The sequence below is a fragment of the Homo sapiens genome, chromosome 1 (genome assembly GCF_000001405.40).
Source record: "Homo sapiens chromosome 1, GRCh38.p14 Primary Assembly".
NCBI classification, from domain to species: Eukaryota; Metazoa; Chordata; class Mammalia; order Primates; family Hominidae; genus Homo; species Homo sapiens.
Genome location: NC_000001.11, coordinates 147,579,309 through 147,598,032, shown reverse-complemented (window position 1 = coordinate 147,598,032; position 18,724 = coordinate 147,579,309). Strand labels below are relative to the sequence as shown.

Here is an 18,724-nt window from a genome sequence, read left to right as displayed (position 1 = left end):
AAGCTCTGGCCTGGGGGGAATCCCAGACCAGATCACCTCTGCTCAGCAAGCTCAAAACAAACTCATTAAAACAATAATACACATGTTAAAAGAAAGTCTTAGCCATTTTACTAAGCGTTAAGCCCTCATGCAGCCATTATGTGTCAAAGTTCAAAATTATTATTGAATCAGAAGAAAAATGCAAATGAATATTAAACATACGACACTAGGGTAAAAGAATAATACTATTGAGAATTTAAGCACGCTAAAAAGTCATGAAATCTAAAGGTTAGAGGTTCCATAGAAATGGTAATTTAGCTACATTGCACATGGGATAGAAATGTGTTTTAAACTAGGATTTATTCTATTAAATAGGTTATTTTACTAGAATTTTTGCCCTCTGAATTTTCTACCTTGTATGCATTTTCATCTCACTTGAGAAAGAATTCTATTTTGGTGTATAAGGATTTAACACACTGTATATACATAAACATTAATGGATAATGAAATGCTTTTTTAAAAGCATCCTATGAATAAGAGCTTCAAACTGGTACTGCTACTCTAGAAATTTTAAGATAAGAAATCATTTTTTTACCCAAATGGTAAAATTGCTAAAAATAAAGGATTTTGATGCTAAAGAGACTTGGTTTTGATTTTCTCACTTACTGAAATTTGCTTCTCATAATGATGAGCACTCACTGTGTTGCAAACATAGATGATGTAAGTTTGACTTCTTAGTTCTTTAGCTAATCATAGCATTTATGTTAGGTTTGCCTCCAGTTTTTCCACCTGTAAACTCCACTTTCAAGTTGAGGCAACAAGTGCTTTTGTTTCCTCCGTTCTTGATAAACTTAAACCTAAATTTTAGGATTGGAAGGAATTCCATTCTGTCTTACAGAATGCTAAGGCATAGAAGTTCAATGATTTGCCAAGATTATGCTCAGTTTTAGGGACTAGAATTTGAGTCCAAGACTCCACAGCAGTATTCTAAATTCCAATGATTGTTCATTCCTAACAATATTTATTATTGTAGGAGAGAATATGAAAGTCTTCCTCAGAAATGATGAAACCAAGACTAACAAAGGTTGAGCCCACTCAGCCAGCTAGTATCAGGGTTATAAGAGGGCTTAACAAATTCTTGCCTTGGTCAAAGCCCTCAGCTTGTCCATGGGCTCCTGCTGCTTGTACTATTAATATTTATTACCGATTCATCTACCTCATTGTTCACCAAAACTGGTGAATTTCAGCTCCAAAAGAATACTACCAAGAGAGTCATTAATAATTGAAAATGATGGGTTAGAATGGAATAGCATCTAACCATTAGAAAGTCAGTCTAATCTCGGCCAGGCGCGGTGGCTCACGCCTGGAATCCCAGCACTCTGGGAGGCCGAGGCGGGCGGATCACGAGGTCAGGAGATTGAGACCATCCTGGCTAACACGGTGAAACCCCGTCTCTACTAAAAATACAAAAAATTAGCAGGGTGTGGTGGCCGGCGCCTGTAGTCCCAGCTACCCGGGAGCCTGAGGCAGGAGAATGGCGTGAACCCGGGAGGCGGAGCTTGCAGTGAGCCTAGATCGCTCCACTGCACTCCAGCCTGGGCGACAGAGCGAGACTCCGTCTCAAAAAAAAAAAAAAAGAAAAGAAAAAAAAGAAAGTCAATCTAATCTCTTGACTTTCATAGTGCTGTGCCCCAATGCTGTAATAACATAGCCAGGAAATTATTTCTTTTTAGGTTTTCCAGGCAAAAGAAACAAATCTCCTTATCCTACCTTTCACCAGTCTATTGAAGTCAATGGGGGAGTCCCAGAGCTTCATCCCTGGCTGGAAAATTTAAAACTAATTGTCTCCTTCGTTAGGTGGAAATCAATTTTCCCACCTCCTTTCCTCCTGCAGCTTCACCTGAGGCCCTTGGCATTCGATGAGAGCTTGAGTCTTGTTCTGTGTCACCACATACCTGCTCTTCACAACTTGAGAATCAGAGTCACCATTCTTAAGAAGCTTTGAAGTGACACTCAGATCCCATAAGAAGGCACCACCAATGCTTCCCCTTTGTTTTCATGCTCAAACCTTTATGGTTGTGCCTCCTACTCTCATTACTCTACCTTCTAAAATTCAAGTTTTGTGACATTCTCATTTCCTGAGTCCTAAATGATTGACATAATGATCCTGATCCTTCCCCACTTTTCCAATTTAACCATTGTCCATCATGCCTTACCAAGGGACAATCTACGTGTTCCACATGCTTTAACCATTTATCTCCAAATCTCTTGACCTTCATACCAGTTCTTCACATCCATTCTTAGAATCCCACTTTCCTTTTCTTCCTCAATTTCCACTAATTTATTATTTATTTATTTATTTATTTTTTGTAGAGATAGTCTCACTATGTTGCCCAGGCTGGTCTCAAATTCCTAGCCTCAAGCAATCCTCCTACCTTGGCCTACCAAAGGGTTAGTATTATAGGCATAAACCAGTGAACCCAGACTCATTTCTTATTCATAACTGCTTTCCCAACAATAATTCCGGATGTTTCTACTACTTCATTTTGTTTCATTCTCCTAGATATTTCCCTAGGAATTTTGCCCTCCAGATGACCTATTTTGTTTTTCCTGATTTCAGCCTGTGCTACTGGACTCTTCCCAGCTCACACAATCAATCTCTTCCCAGTTTCTCTAGAATTACTACCCAACTATTTCAGCCTTGATTTCACCTTTGTGGTTTGCATTCAGGTTGCACCCACTGGCCACTTTGTCTCCATAGAATCCTTGACCATCCACCATTCTGGCCACGGAAATTTCTAATGCTAAGATGTACCTTCACTTCCTTGTTTCCACATCTGGTCAACCAGACCTTGCTAGAAAAAACATGAAGCCAATAAAATGGATCCCAACCAAAATTAAGGTGATGATGCTGAATATCTTTACTTACCACTTTGTAATCCTTTTATGTATCCTCATTGTTGCCGCTATCATTTTCCACAGCAATTACTCCAAATTCTATCCACACTTCTTCTACACTGCAAGACCAACCTTGTCATCTCATCTCACCTCTGAAGGACGCTGCTCACTCTTCTCCCATCCATTGGCTTCTTACTCTTTGCTTTAGAAACTTCAGTAACATTTTTCTTACATTAGTACCCTTTTTCCCCCTTTCTTTTTATTCCCAATTTATCCAAAGGGCAACCTACATTCTCTGCCACAACTATTGTGTTTCCTCCTCTGTAATTAACCCAACCATTCTACCAAAATGCTCTGTCCAATATGGCCAAACCTAATTGCCAAATTCACATAATGAATATCCTTTCCTCCCTGAATCTCTTTTTAGTTGTTAATTCCAAGATGTGATGATACAGTTTTGCCTTCTTTATTGATTTAAATTCTTCCCATTGTCTCTTAATTGTTGTTCTTTAAAGTTGTTTGTTCTTGATCTTGTCTCTCTCCAATTTTCCCTAAGTCATTTCACTCTCCTAACTTTAGCTATCATCTCTTTGAAGTTTAAAGAACTTTAACTATGACCAGCACATCTACAAGTCTAGCTCAGGCCTCTCTTGAACTTAATCCTGCATTTCTATCTACTCAGCTTGCTCATCTAAAGTGACTTAACATATCAAAAAGCAAACTCACCATCTGTCAAGATTAAGTCTCACTTCTGAATTCCCTATATCTTTCACTTAGGCTTAAAACTCTGTGGTAATCCTGGCTCAACATCTTCTGTCTTTGTCTCCTCTCATCACCAGTGTCCACAAATTCCTCCTTAAATCAATTTCTTGTTTTCTGTTTCCAAGATGGGACCGTTGCAATAGATATTCCTGCCTCCAGCCTCTCCCCTCGTCAGTCAATTCTACATGCTCTTGCCAGATAGATCTTTCTTTAAAAAGTGGTTTATGTATACCACCATTTTTTACATAATTCGTGAATTGTCTATTCCTTTCTAATTATTTAAGCCCTACTGGTTCTGCTGAGCCCAATGAGGGCCCCTCTATCTACCTTAAGATCTCAACAGTATTGTATAACAGAAACAATATTGGTTTTAGAGTCATATGGACCTGGGTTTAGATATTAAACTATATTTTTGTAGCCAAGTAATTTTGGTCAAAAACAATGTTTTCTTTTTCATCTATTTTAGTGGTAGATGTTTTTATAATCAACTTAAAAATATAGCCTAGATAGGCAAATTTTACTCTAGGTCCCAGTCTTCCCCCATATCCCAAGAGCAGAATCTCACATATCTTTTGTTTTTCAATTACTTATTCATTGCAATATTTATTGAGCAACTACTAAGTACAGGGCTTGGGGGATACAAAAAATGAATCCAACATTCAATTCTGTTTTCAAAGTATAATCAAATTTGTATGGAGGGCTCATTCATTAATAAGAAAAAAAAGAGTTTACTAAGTGCCTACCATGTGCTAAGTATTGTGCAAAGTACTGAAGATTCAAAAAAGTATAACTTAACTCCCCTGATGTTGGGATCAGTGATCTAGCTTGTTAAAAATATTGACAAGCAAACACTTATAATCACTTATAATAAGTGGCATAATATGAATAAATACCAAGTGTTTTGGGCGTACAGAAGAGAGGTATCTAGTTCAGGCAGGAGAGTCAGAGTATGCAATAAGACCTGAGTGGAATCTTAAAGAATGCGTAGGAGTCAGCCAGGCAAAGGACTCAGCAATGTGCAAAGGCTCAGATGTGTGACAATGTATATAATTAACCACAATGCAAGATAGAAGGCAATAAATAAATAAATGGCAGAGCAGAAGCAAAAAGTAAATCAGCAATCATAGGAGATACATTATTTGAGGGAGAAGACATGAGCAGAAACTACTTCATGGAGGTGGAAGCACTTGAGGCAATCTGAGGGTCAGGATTCAGGCATGCAGTGGGGCTGGATGCCTCTTTGTCTTCTCAGCACCTCGTGCAGTGCCCTGCACACAACAGGGACAGCACCTTGCTTGCTGTGATGATGATGGTGATGGTAATAATGATAATATCTAGGTTTGTTTCTCATGAAGTTTGTTCCTCTGTTTTTCCAGAATGCTTACAAGGGGAGACGCGTGATTCAAAAACCCACTTCAGGGTGGAAACCACCTGATTTTGAATCTTACCTCTGCCATGAGCAGGCTATATAACCTTGGAAAAATTACCTAACCTCTCTAGGTTTTTTTTTCCCCCATAAAGTGGAGTACTGGTAATAGGTATTTGTCTCCCAGAGTAGTGTGGGAATAAATGAATGACTGTAGACATGTAGGAATAGTGCCTAGCACATAGTTAAGTGCCCGATAAATGTTGGTTCTTATTATTGCATTTGGTCATCTCTGGATTTTCCAAAATGGAATTGGCCTGTGGGGAGATTTTAGGGACACTGAAAGGCTATCCCCTCAATACCTTACTCATTCTCACACCCAACATCACTTACTGATATCTCTTCAACTCTCCTGACACACTCTTTTAAATTCTGCCATTAGAAGTTCATACTTTGGATTTAAGATGTCACTTCCCCCAGCCCTTGGGGGTGGATAACATAATAAAAGGTTAGCCTTGTTTCATTTTAATAAGTTATCTGGCCAGACCTCTATCCTCCTTAACTGCTAACTGCACTGAGGGAATATTGAGGGGAAGAAAGAAAAGGCTAATTTTGAAGCTTGGAGAACTCTCCCCAGAAATTCAAGATAGAAGGAAAGATACTCAGAGGGCTTTCTGAGGGCAGCAAGTCCTCTGGGATTGCAAAAAGTGGTTGAGATTGGCGAGAGATGCCAAGAAGTGGTGAGGAAAACAAAAACAAGGTCATCTGTGCCAGTAAAGACAGGCTTTGCTAACTTAAACAGTGCTGACCTTGATTTGGGGGTTCTGTATCAACTGCTCTTTTCTCTACTCTGTGCTAGTGTTTTGGAATAACACTGCTCAGGATCACTCTTGATTCACAGTCATTGAGGACACTATCCAGGTGGTTAAGGAACCCCTGTTTGTAAAATCTCATAGTGACTTTTACATGTTTGCTTTCTTAGTTATAGTTTATCAGTCAAGCATTAGTAAGCACCTACTATGTGTCTAGTGCCAAACTAAGCAGAGTGAGAGCTTCATTAGAAGCTGGATAAATACCCCTCCTCCAGAACCTTACAGTCCAGTTGAGGAAACAACTACAACAGAAGATGTTTAATAATTAATTTCTAAACAGAATTACAGACACCGCACAAACCATAGATTTCTGGGGAGTGGGAGGGCAGGACGGGAAGCAATGATTAGAATCTGGACTAGTGTGTGATAATTTTGTGAAGGATCAGAAGCCAAACTGGCTTGAAGAATAGGATTTGGGCAGTTCCAGGAGGGGAGGATGGCCAGGAGGGAGAGACAAGGAGCCAAGCCAGAGACTGAAAGGAGCACAGCATATGTGTGGGCAGTGAATCAGAAAATGATAGTGGTAAAGGTTATTAGAAACAAACATAATGGCAGTCGCTGTTTATTGAGTATTTAGTATGTGCATGTGCCAAGCACTATTCTAAGGACTTTGTATGATCTTATTTATATACGCAATAACCCCATGAGGTATGAATTGCTCTCCCTCAACTGTTTTGCAGTTGAGGAGCCAGATACTTAACAAGGTAAGGTAACTGTGCTGAGTCATGTGTCTAGAGAGTGGTGGAGCTGAGATTAAAGCCAAAGTCAGCCTGAGGTGAAAATGTTTAATCTTTCCACATTATAGCCTCTCTTCAATGTATGTGTTGGGATCAGTGGGGAATACAGATAGATAAATAAGGTGGGAATTAATTATGAAGAATATAATTTAGATAAAGTATATAAGAAGAATACACTGAGTTATTTTTTTTAAAAAGCTACAGTTTACAGAATACTGCCTATGGAATAGGCACCATCCTGACAGCATTATCCTGAATGTGATTTATAATTATACCCATTTTACAGATGAGAAAACCCAAATGGAGAGGGTAAATGACTTGTTCAAGCCTCTCAACAGTTAAAAAGCACAGTCCAGATTTGAATGCTAGGCTAATGGCAAAGCCTGTATTCTTGCTGCTATCCTGCACTGCCTTTCTCCTTATGCAAGGGAAAAAAACATGTAAAAATAACATCAGTGCAATTTGCATGGTATTTTTCAAAGTATTCTTTTATATTCACAGCCACACTTGATCCTTATGACAACCATATGATAGGCGTAGTAGATAGCTCCCATCATAACGATTAATAATAATGGGCATAATAATCATTAAAATAACAACATTCGCCAGCACTGATTGAGTGCTCTTCATACATCCATGCACTGTGCTAAGGGCTTTGCATGTATTATGTAACAACTCTATAAGAAAGGTTCTACAATTATCCTTAATTTGCATATGAGGAAACTGGGGCTCAGAGAGGTTAAGTAACTTAATAAAGGAGCTGGGTTCAGGTAAGTTACAAGACTAGTTCAAGGTCATGTGATGATGAGTGGTGATTCCTGAACTAGAACACAGATCCTCCAATTCCATATCCACGCATGCTCTTTTCATGTTACTATTTTAACCATCAGTCTGCAGCTACAGGAAGGAAGATTTGAAGAAAGAGCTACAACAGGCAGAAGAAGAGAGAAGAGAGAAGAAGCCAGGAGAGAAGCCAGAAAACGGCAGAAATTCAGGTGTGAAATGATGCAGATCCAGGTAGGGCAATGTAAAGGTAAATGAAGAAGTAGGAAATTCAGGTGCTAGCTGAAGAAGATTGTAGCAGCTTACTTCCGCAGCATATAAATGTAAGAGGAAGGAAGAATAGTGTAAGTTTGGTTTCTAGCCATAAAATTGGTGGAAAGCAGGGGCAGTGTGGTCAGAAGTGAGATGAATTCAAAAATGACACTAGGCAGGATGTGCTGGTGGCTCATTCTGGTAATCTTAGCACTTTGGGAGGCTGAGGCAAGAGGATGGCTTGAGCCCAGGAGTTAGAGACCAGCTTGGGCAAGATGGCAACACCTCGTTTCTATAAAAATAAAATAAAAAATGACACTGGTCTACAGTGAGCTACCACTACACATCAGCTAGGAATGCCTATAATAAAAAAGAAAGACAATGGCAAGTGTTGGTGAGAATGGAGAGAAACTAACACTTTCATGCATTGCTGGTGGGAATGTAAAATGCTGTAGTCACCTTCAAAAACAGTTTAGCAGTTTGTTAAAAAGTTCAATGTAAGTTTACCATGTGACTCAGAACTTCTACTTCTAGGTGTCTATCTAAGAGAAATAAAAATGTATGTCTACACAAAGAATTGTATGTGAATGTTCATAGCAGTATTATTCCTAATAGCCAAAAAGTGGAATCAATCTGAATGTCCATCAACTGAAGAATGGTTAAATAAAACGTGGTCTATCCCTACAATGAAATATTATTCAGCAATAGGAAATGAACTGCTAACACACACTACAACATGGATGTACCTCAAAACCCCTTTGCTAAGCAGAAGAAGCCTGAAAGAAGCCAGATGCAAAAGACTACATATTGCATGATTTCATTTACATGAAATGTCCTGAAAACGTAAATCTATAGAGACAGAAAGCAGATTAGTTGGGGTGGGAATGGGGATCGACTGCAAATAGTATAGGGATCTTTTTGGGGTAAAGTAAATGTTTTAAAAGTGGATTTTAGTGTTGGTTGCACAACACTGTCAATTTACAAGAAATCAATAGATCATACACTTAAAATGGGTAAATTTTATGGTTTGTAAATTATACCTCAATAAAGCTGTGTTTTGGAAAAGTGAAGCTGATTTGTAGAAGACAAAAGAGGTCGAGTTTTAGAATTATGGGTGACTGAACACCAAAACGGAGATGTCTTGCCAGGTGAGAGGACAGGCTGGAGGTGCAGAGGTGAGAGCTGAAGCCAGGAAAATGAATGAGCTCACCAAAGGAAAACATATGCAAGAGAAAAGGAAGATGTCAAGGGTAAAGCTTTCAGTGTCACTACCATTAGGGACAGGGATGATGGTTTGCCTGGGCTAATATGGTGCTCACCCTGGTAACAACATGTCCAGCTAATATTAAAATTCACTGATATCCTCCAAGCATGCATCCACTGAGAGCAGAGGTATAAGCCCCAAGGCATGGCAAACAGTAGGGTAAATCTGCCTGGAGGAAAATTGCCTCTAAATGACTAAAATACACAAAGATAACTGGGAAAGGATTGAATATGTTCCCTGTATTTTGGGTTTAAAAAGAGAACTGCACAAACACTTTAACCTAAATTAGAAATCACATCAGCATTAGGGAGTGCAGGGTCTCAAAAGCAATATTTCACTTAGTCACTAACTACCAAGATGGATATGATGCTGGACCACCCCTAGAATCACGCTCTTTGGTCCCAATATTGACTTCTGAATTTAGAAAGAGCCAGCAGAGACTCTCAGGTAAATTCTGCAACTGCTTTCCCACCTCTGAATTTGGGACAAATCCTCCTCTTCCTCCTGGCCTCGCCCCACCCCGCCCCATGGATAGCACTTCTGGGAGGGGGTGCTCCCAGGCTAGGAAACTAGCGAGCCTCTCTTTCTCCCATAGTCTGACATCTTGATGCCTTGGCTGATGGAGGGAGAACCCAAACAATCCTTTTTGTTTCACCTTATTTCATATTTCTGTAAATGAAGTAAGTGTATACTGTCGTTTTTTGTTAAATAAAGGGTAAAAAATAAGAATCTGAGAGTTTAAGGTCAAAGTAGTGGAGAGTAGGAAAGGAAGCCTAGGATCCAAAATGGCACTGGCTTCAAGACCACCCACATCATATTGAGGGTTCAGCCAAGTCAGGCCTCTTAACCCTGGGTCCGCAACGGAAACTAGGGCTAGAACTTGGATGCAGAAAAAAAATACATCTTTGCTTCCACTAACTTCTAGTTGAAAATTATCATTTCCTTCAATTATGGATCCAGGCAACAGATCAAGGTGGTATGAGCAGCTCATGACTTTTTAACCAGCAGAATCACAGATATCCCAAATACCGCTTATAGTCATCACTATGACATTACAATAATTATAAGACCTGCCAGTAGACTTTTTAATTAACGTTCTAATAAAGAAGCACATATTACTATATCACAAACTTGACGTTTTTAATATTTAGATCATTATATTTCATTATAACCTATTTTTGTAAACCTACGTAATTTATTTTATGTGTCTTAAATCATTATTCTGTTCATAGGCTTCACGAGACTGCTCATGGGGGCCCATGACACAGAAAAGTTGAAATACCCCTGGGCTGGAGGAACTCTTCCCTAATCCCCATCAAACACCACACACACACACACACACACACACACACACACACACACAGGCCTCACTACAAGGCCTGAAATCCCACCATTAGAGAACATTTCCTTTGGGTTTTTAAGATTCCCATTAAAATGCAAATGCCCCCTAAGGAGAAGAACTTCTCTGAGTGTTATTAGTTAACCCCTTAAATGAGGTTGTTTAGCAGCTAGCTGGGCACAACATCCTACAACTCAATTAAACAAACGTTTATTGACCTCCTGCCATGGTTAAGGAGCCAGACTTGGGAATAGGGAGCAAAATCCCACGAGGTTTCTCCCCTCAAGGGGGCTTGCAATCTAGTACGGTGAGTAAAACAAGTACAAAAAAGACAGGAAGAGAAATGCAACGGCAGAGGTGCAAAGAGCAAAGCCTGTTCCGGGGGAGGGGCGGCTGGGAAGCAAGAGATTCATTCATGCGTGCATTCTAGAAGGACTGACTGCCTGTGGACTCCGGGCTAGGTCCTCAGAACACAGCCTGAGCCAAGTTCACTGCCTAGTGTTCAAATTAAACAGATAAACCACAAGTAAGCTACTGTCGTTGGGTTCTCTCGGGCGTATAAAGTCTGGAGAAGCACAGGGGAGGGAGTGACTTAGCGGCTATGGGGGCGGGGAAGAGTCTAGAAAGACTGTCGTTGTGATGAATGTGGCACGGAGTAAGTGACATATGAGCCGGGTCTAGCAGGGTAAGTTTAGGAGAGACGGGGTTGGGTGGGGAGAGAGGAGATATGTATATACATATATAGAGAGAGAGAGAAAGAGAGAGAAAACGAACCACATTCCTGGAGGAGGTATGTGTAAAGGGCCTATGCTGAGAACCATTTCGGTGTGGTGGGCTTAGGGATAGCGGAGGAACCAGGCAGGAAGGCAGGAGATGGGCCTGGAATTGTAAAACAGAGCATCTTAAATTTAAGGCTAAGGAGTTTGCATCTTATCCATTTGGAACAATCAGAAAATGCTTCACGAAGGAGATATTTGAGCTGGGCCTTAAAGCATGAGAAAAATTTCTACAGGTGGAGAGGGGGCTGAGAGCGTTTCAGGGTAAAAGAACAGCATAGCCGGGCACAGGGGCTGAAGACTACGGGCTTGGGAAAAGCCTGCGAGAGCAGTGTGTGGTCCATAGGGTCCCGAGCACTGGGATCACATGGAGGCCTATTAAGGGCGGGTCCCCTGGCCCCGGAGCAGACCCGCCAAATCAGAATTGCTCACGGCAGGCGCCTGCTAGCCAAGCTCTTGATGCGCAGTAAAGTTGTTCAGTGGCTTAGTAGGCGAGAAGGCCAAAAAGGAAGGTGACCTCTGAGTGCAGGATAAGAATCTGCACTTAAATGGGAAGGCTCCTGAGAACGGACCCAGTGGGAGAGTGGTATTTATCAGAGCCTTACTTCAGGAAGGTTTACCAGACAGAAGAACTTAGGATGGAAAGTGTGGGGACCCAGTTAAACGGCTATTACAGTAGTCCAGGTAGGGGGTAATGAGGACTGAATTTTGGTAGTGGGAGGGGGAAGAATAGGGAAGGGACAGATGTAAGACATTTGGGTGGCAGAATCTACATGGCTCCCTGGGCAACTGAAGTGGGTGGAAAGGCTGAGTCACACATGACTTTAGGGAGCTAAGCTGGGCTGTGGGGAAAACGGCAGAGCTTTTAAAAGAAAAGCAGAGTTAATAAGGTGAGTTTAGGAAGGTGATCAGTTGAGAGATAAAGTGCCAAGCACAGAGAGGCCAATAATAGTGATGATTTTTATTTTGCATCCCACTGTAGTTAGTGGGATACAGGATGGAGCACAGGTGGTACTCGTGGGCTGAGAGCAGGCAGAGCAAGGGCTGAATTTATCACCATTTTGTTGAGGATCCCCTAACAAAGTGGCAGGAGCTCTGAGCTATAAACCCAGGCAAGTCCCTTCTCCTCTTAGGAGCTTCTGTTTCCTCCTTGGAAAAGCAGGTGATAATAAAACTTATCACCCACTCATCCCTTGGGAGTGCTGCGAAGAGCAACCAATATAAATACATAAAAACGCTTAAAGCACTCAGCAAGAACAAAGTGTGCTAGAAATGCTAAACAATAATAAATTCAGCCACCCCCAGTTCACCATAATAATAAACAAGGTGTCTTTTTTAAAAGCAGGTGTAGTTAACCGGTACTAACTTTGAGGTTGTCTTATATAGCCTCTAACAACAGGTAATTAAATCTGAACTCGATTTTCAAGAGTACTCTCATCAGAGGGTCTCAGAATGACCCTAATACCTCCATGAAACCGAGGCCTGGACTACATAGCAATTAATTAACATGAAAATTACTTTATCATCCCCTCCCCATCGTTAGCATCTTGTGTGACTAATATCAGCATCCATACTACAGGCAATCCCCACAATCCCCCCAAGCTGTACTCTTTGTCACATGTCACACCCCTGAGGTCCGTCTCTTGGCAGAATGGTGCCATATAAAATATTCAGATCCTAGGTAGGTTGTGTGCAACCTACATGGAAAAGAAGGCTGTCAGAAAAACAGAAGGCAAAAAACTGCATTTCTAAAATGACAAAGATTATAAATCCAGTTTTAAAGGAACACATCTCTAATTATATGTTCCATGCATAGCAAATCTCTTTTAATAAATCCCACCACAATCTCCGCTCCCCTAAAGAGCAGACCTGATAGGTAATAACTCCCCTCCTCTGTGGTAAAATCCAATTTTCACACCTGGTAAATGAAATAACTCCACTATGAACCAAGGTTGGGTTGGGGTGAGCCATTAACAGAAGGTTAGGGGCTGTGCATCATGTAACAGCTCTTCTGGGAGCCCCTTCCAGAGATTTGCTCTTTTTATGCCGGTTGATGCTATTTGGCCAGAAAACCTCCAACCTCCGAGGTTACAAATAGAGCCTTTGTCACCTGGAGTGGTTATGAATGAGAACCACGGTTCATGGTTCACCTATGTGCAAGGGCCGGCCCTGGCCCTCATCTCTTGTTTAGTAGGAAGGTTCCTTACCATTTGTGTACTTTAGGAGCTAAACTTCTACTGCATTCCTGACAAATTGACCAAAAGAAGGAAAGATGCTACTGAAATTTACAGTTGCAAAGGAGTAGTACCTGGGAGGCGCACACAAGACATAAGTCTGAAAATCCAGCCAGGGTCTGTATTCTGTGTAGGCCTAATCAGGAACAATAAGGTGGACATCCACAAGGAATCAGCAACAAAAACAAGAGACACATACACCATTGAACATAACTGGGAATTGATGAAGGTGACATCACAGATAAGTGGATTAAAAAAAAGATTAGTCAACAAATAACATTGGAATAATAATTCTACTGTCTGGAAGAAAATTTAAGATCCTCATCTCATACTATAAAACAAATAATTCCAGAGGTTCTGTAGGCCAGAGTTGAAGAAAAAAAAGTTACAGAGGGATGAAAGAGGCAAATATAAAAATGAATCCGGCTGGGTGCGGTGGCTCACACCTGTAATCCCAGCACTTTGGGAAGTCCAGGAGGGCGGATCACCTAAGGTCAGGAGTTGGAGACCTGTGTGACCAACATGGCAAAACCTCGTCTCTACTAAAAATACAAAATTAGCTGGGTGTGGTGGCGTGCGCCTGTAATCCCAGCTACTTGGGAGGCTGAGGCAGGAGAATCACTTGAACCCGGGAAGCAGAGGTTGCAGTGAGCTGAGATCACACCATTGCACTCCAGCCTGGGCAACAAGAGTGAAACTCCATCTCAAAAAAAAAAATGAATCCATTAAAGAAATGAAAGAAAATAAAGGTGAATATTTATCTGAACTTGGGGACAGGGAAAGATATTCTTAAAATAAATTTTTCTTTTTTTTGAGACAGAGTCTCGCTCTTGTCATTCAGGCTGGAGGGAGGGCAGTGGCGCAATCTTGGCTCACTGCAACCTCCACCACCCTGGTTCAAGCAATTCTCCTGCTTCAGCCTCCTAAGTAGCTGGGATTACAAGTGCCAGCCACCATGCCCAGCTAATTTTTGTACTTTTAGTAGAGACGGGGTTTTGCCATGTTGACCAGGCTGGTCTCGCACCCCTGACCTCAGGTGATCTGCCCACCTCGGACTCCCAAACTGCTGGGATTACAGGTGTGAGCCACCTTGCCTGGCCAAAAATTTTTAAAAATTGAATAGACTTGATTACATACAAATGTAAAATTCTGTATGTAAAAAAAAATCATAAAATTAAAAGGCAAACGATCTAGGCTGGGCATAGTGGCTCACGCCTGTAATTCCAGCACTTTGGGAGGCCAAGGTAGACAGATCACCTGAGGCCAGGAGTTCGAGACCAGCCTGGCCAACATGGTGAAACCCCGTCTCTACTAAAAATACAAAAATTAGCTGGGCATGGTGTTGCATGCTTATAATCCCAGCTACTTGGGAGGCTGAGGCGGGAGGATTACTTGAACCTGGGAGGTGGAGGTTGCAATAAGCCGAGATTGCACCCATACACTCCAGCCTGGGGAACAGAGCAAGAGTCCATCTCAAAAAAAGTAAAAATACATAAATAAATAAATAAATAAAAGGCAAACAGTCTAATAAAAGCAAAATATTTCCAACAACTATGATTTCAACAAATGACTGAAAAGACATTAATATTCTTAGTATATAAAGAGCTCATACAAAGGGGTATGAAAAATGTAAATGCCTGAGTTGAAATGTAATATTTCATATACACAGAATGTGAATACAAAAAAATTTACATGAACTTATGGAAAAACTCATCCTAACTAGTAATCAAAGAAATGCTAAGTTAATTGTATTTTTCATGAGGGCCTGTTACGTGGCAAACACTTGGTAAATATTTGTTGACTTGCTCAAATTAACAAAGAATTAAAAAATTCCAGTGTTCAGTGTTAGTATGTGTGTGGTCAAATGAACACTCTCATATGCAGCTTGTAGGATTACATACTAAAGCAGGGATCAGTAAACAATTTCTGTAAAGGGCAGATTGTAAATATTTTTGGATTTGCAGGTCATACAGTCTCTATTGCAACTACTCAGCTCTGCCATTGTACGGTGAAAGCAGTCATAGACAATATGTAAATGAATGAGCATAGTTTTGCTTCAGAAATACTTTATTTATGGACACTGAAATGTGAATTTCATATAATTTTCACATGTGATGCAGTATTATTATTCTGTTGATTTTTTCCCTAAGCATTTAAACATGTAAAAACCATTCTTAGCTCATAGGCTGTACAAAAACAAGCCACAGGACAGATTCGGCCCTCGGGTCCTAGTTTGCCACCCTGTACTAGAAGAACATTTCTGGAAATCAATTTGGCACTAATAGCAAGAGGCTTTTAAAAGGCCATACACAGGGTGTCTGTATTAAAATAACCAAGTATAAATACATTTTTAAATAAAAAATTAAATGTTCATACTCTTTGCCCTAATTGCCTTAATAATTCCCTGTCTAGGAATAAGTTACAAAGCAAAAGGAAATGGAGAAACTTGGACAGAAATTTATACAAAGAAACATCTAAACATAGAGCAGAATAGGAATGGTTAAATAAACCTTGGTACATTCATATGATGAAATATTATGCAGACATAAATCTTTCACAGAAACGTTTTATCACATGCAAGAAATGCTCATGATATAAAGTTATATGAAACAGTAAGATACAAAATGCATACATGGTCTTATCCCAATTTTGCAAAGCATATACATACATACAATTTATATAGACAGAAACATATGTGTAGAGAAAGGATGGAAGAAAATGCAATAAAATGTGAAAAGTGCTCTGGATGCTGGGTTTATGGGTGATTAAAATCTTTTCTTCTTTTGTTTTAGTTCTCTACAATGAATAGTTATTAATTTTGTAATCAGGAAAATGTATAAATATTATGTTTAAAATAAATTGGAAAAAAATCCAGAATCAGAAGTTCACAGAGAATAGTCAGAGAAGAAAAGCAGAAAAGCTTTCAAAATGCAACCTAGATGTAAAAACCTGACAAATATCTGCAATGAAAAACAGACTCAGGCAATAGAAAGTCGCCAGCGTCTAAAATTCATGCAAGATCACCACAGGAAGAAAAAAAAGTTCTGATCAAAAGCAGCTGAGACCTGGAATCTACAACTGGCCCTACACTGAATGTATCCAGAAAAAGAAGCATGAGATTAAAGAGCTGACGTAGGTCCTGTGCACAGTGTGGCTTGGGGACTCACAGGGTTTCCTTTTTCCTACCCTACAGCAACCCACCTTCCCCCAAACAAAAGACCAAAAAACAACCTTCGGTTCACACTTTAGAAGGATGAAATTCTACAGCTAGCACTTGCTTCTTTTGTTTTATTATCGAAGAAGTATGACTTCTCTCTTCCAAGTGTTCATAGCCACTTACACCTTGATGCATTTTTCTAGAAGCTGAGAGTGACAGGAATGAGGATGAGGAATTTAAGAAAACAGAGGGTTCCCTTAAGCGGAGTTCAGCTATTTCACAGTTTGGTCTAGAAACTGACCTACACACAATTAGCGTATAGCTGTCATTTTGGGAGTTTACTGTTTGCTAGTTGATATGCCATGTCTTTACATCTGTTGCTTCATTTAATTCTAAGAAGAAGCCAATAAGGAAGCCTTTTCCCAGTGTTATCTAAGCAATTGTCATACCAGACAAGACATACCAGATAAGACTTTAGAGAGGTCAAATAATTTGCCCAGGGTCACATTGGTAATTAGAGGCAGAACCAGGTTTCAAACCCACTTCCAAGTTTGTGACACCGATGGCCAAAATACTTCTAAAACCAGATTTGAAGAAGAGGCAGGGAGGAGCACCAGTGTTATCATCAAACACACCTGGATGCAAGGCTTCAGGTCATAGTTGGGCAATGGTTTTTTCTGAGCCCCAGTTTTTTTCACTTTTAAAAATGGTAGTAATAAAATCTATCTCTCAGAAGTTTTGGAAGTTCAGAGATAATACAAGAAAAATACCCAGCACATAGTAGGTCCTCAATTATGGTGGCTATTAGAGGAATGGAGCTACTAATAATTTCCTTTGCTAAGTCAAAACAGGCACAAGGTCTCCACCAGGAAAACAAAGGAAAATTAAGGTGAGGTAGGGAAATTGCTTAGGTAACTTGGGAAAGGGGCTTTTCCTTTCCTTCATTTCCCAGAGAGCTTTAATTCTTCGCTTTTCTATTTACAATAAGAGAAGCATGTTTGGGACAATGGATTTAGAAATGGAGGTGCTTTATGGCATGTTTATGCTTTCAAAATTAAGTCTAAACTCTTTAAGACCACAAACCACTGTGCACGATGCTTTTCTAGAAGGGTAGGAGGGATAAACATATTCCTATAGGAAGACTCAGTCTCACAGAGCCCATTAGATGAGCCCAAGGAGAATCTTCTACCCACAAAGAGGAAAGTGGTAACGTCCTTCACTTCCTTTGTGGTTTTAATCTAAACCACAACTCCTCCCTTTTAGTTATAAATCTTTTCTTTACGTACATTCAGATGTGTGTTAGGTGTCTTCCATCTCATCTGTCACTCCTTTCCCTGCCACATGGGAAAATATCATATGCTTCTCTTCATCCAAGGAAAGCTTCTCTAGCACACAGGATTGGTTTTGAGAGGCTTTCACAATCCATCTATTCTATCCATAGCTGCCTGCAATGAGAGTCTGTTCCCCAAGACCTTTGGAAGACTCCAGAGTTCTTCCAATGCCCAGACCTATGGCATGGAGGCAGGGAGGATGAATAAACATGTTGTACATCGCTTAGGCAAAAGAGGGAAAGCCTTCTGTCTGAAATGAATGAGAACATCAGAGTTTCCAGTCAGAGATGAATGGAGGAAATATGTCTTGTTTTTGCTTTCTAAGAGAAGAGGAAGAATGAATGAAAGGGGGAATAAACACAATGCTCAAGCCAAGGAAAGAAAAATCAGAAAAACCCAAAGTGATAGTCAGGAAGGTGGGTAGACTGCTTGCTGCCTCCTAACTGCTGCTGTGGTTCGAGTTAATATTTGCCAGACTTAGCATTCCTGTGAGTGCCGTTGGGATAATGGGCCCCACTCAGCATCACGTGAGTTCTCCATCTCAGCCGAGGGACAGGATTTCAACCATATCACACACAGCTCTCATTACGTGCAAGGAAATGATCTTACTGAGGAAAGCAGCACAAACCATAAACACATTTACTTAAAAAGGCAAAGCTGTTAGGTGTGCCCCTATTCATGACTAATACAGTGTGCTAGTCTCAGTTTCTGATGTCTAAGTCCAGGATAGCATTTCCCAGCATGGGTCTGAGAGCCCCTTTAGGACATGGGCTATAAGAGGGGCACCCTCAGGTTTAACTTCTTGCTAGCAGGGGTAGAACAGCAGTCATTTTCTAAGGAAGCATTTATTAAGCACCATCTGTGTCAAGCAGTGTATATATTCCATATAGTAGAGAAAGGCAATTCTCTGCATTTGAGAAGTTTGTGATTTTGTCAGGGAATGAATATGCCAAAAATCAAAATGCTAAGGTTAG

The 18,724-nt window shown here is 40.4% G+C and overlaps 1 protein-coding gene across 1 annotated transcript in view, besides 1 other annotated feature; it reads right to left on the bottom strand.

The window, feature by feature from the left end:
* BCL9 (BCL9 transcription coactivator) overlaps nucleotides 1-18,724 on the bottom strand; it is an 84,716-nt gene that overhangs the window by 28,184 nt on the left and 37,808 nt on the right. The gene's annotated exons all lie outside the window — the stretch shown is intronic.
* Nucleotides 1,497-2,017: an enhancer, noted in NCBI's record as "H3K4me1 hESC enhancer chr1:147067805-147068328 (GRCh37/hg19 assembly coordinates)". NCBI's record gives its function as "activates a minimal SCP1, AML or CMV promoter by ChIP-STARR-seq in naive H9 embryonic stem cells {active_cell/tissue: H9 hESC(naive)}" and the evidence as "EXISTENCE:reporter gene assay evidence [ECO:0000049][PMID:30033119]".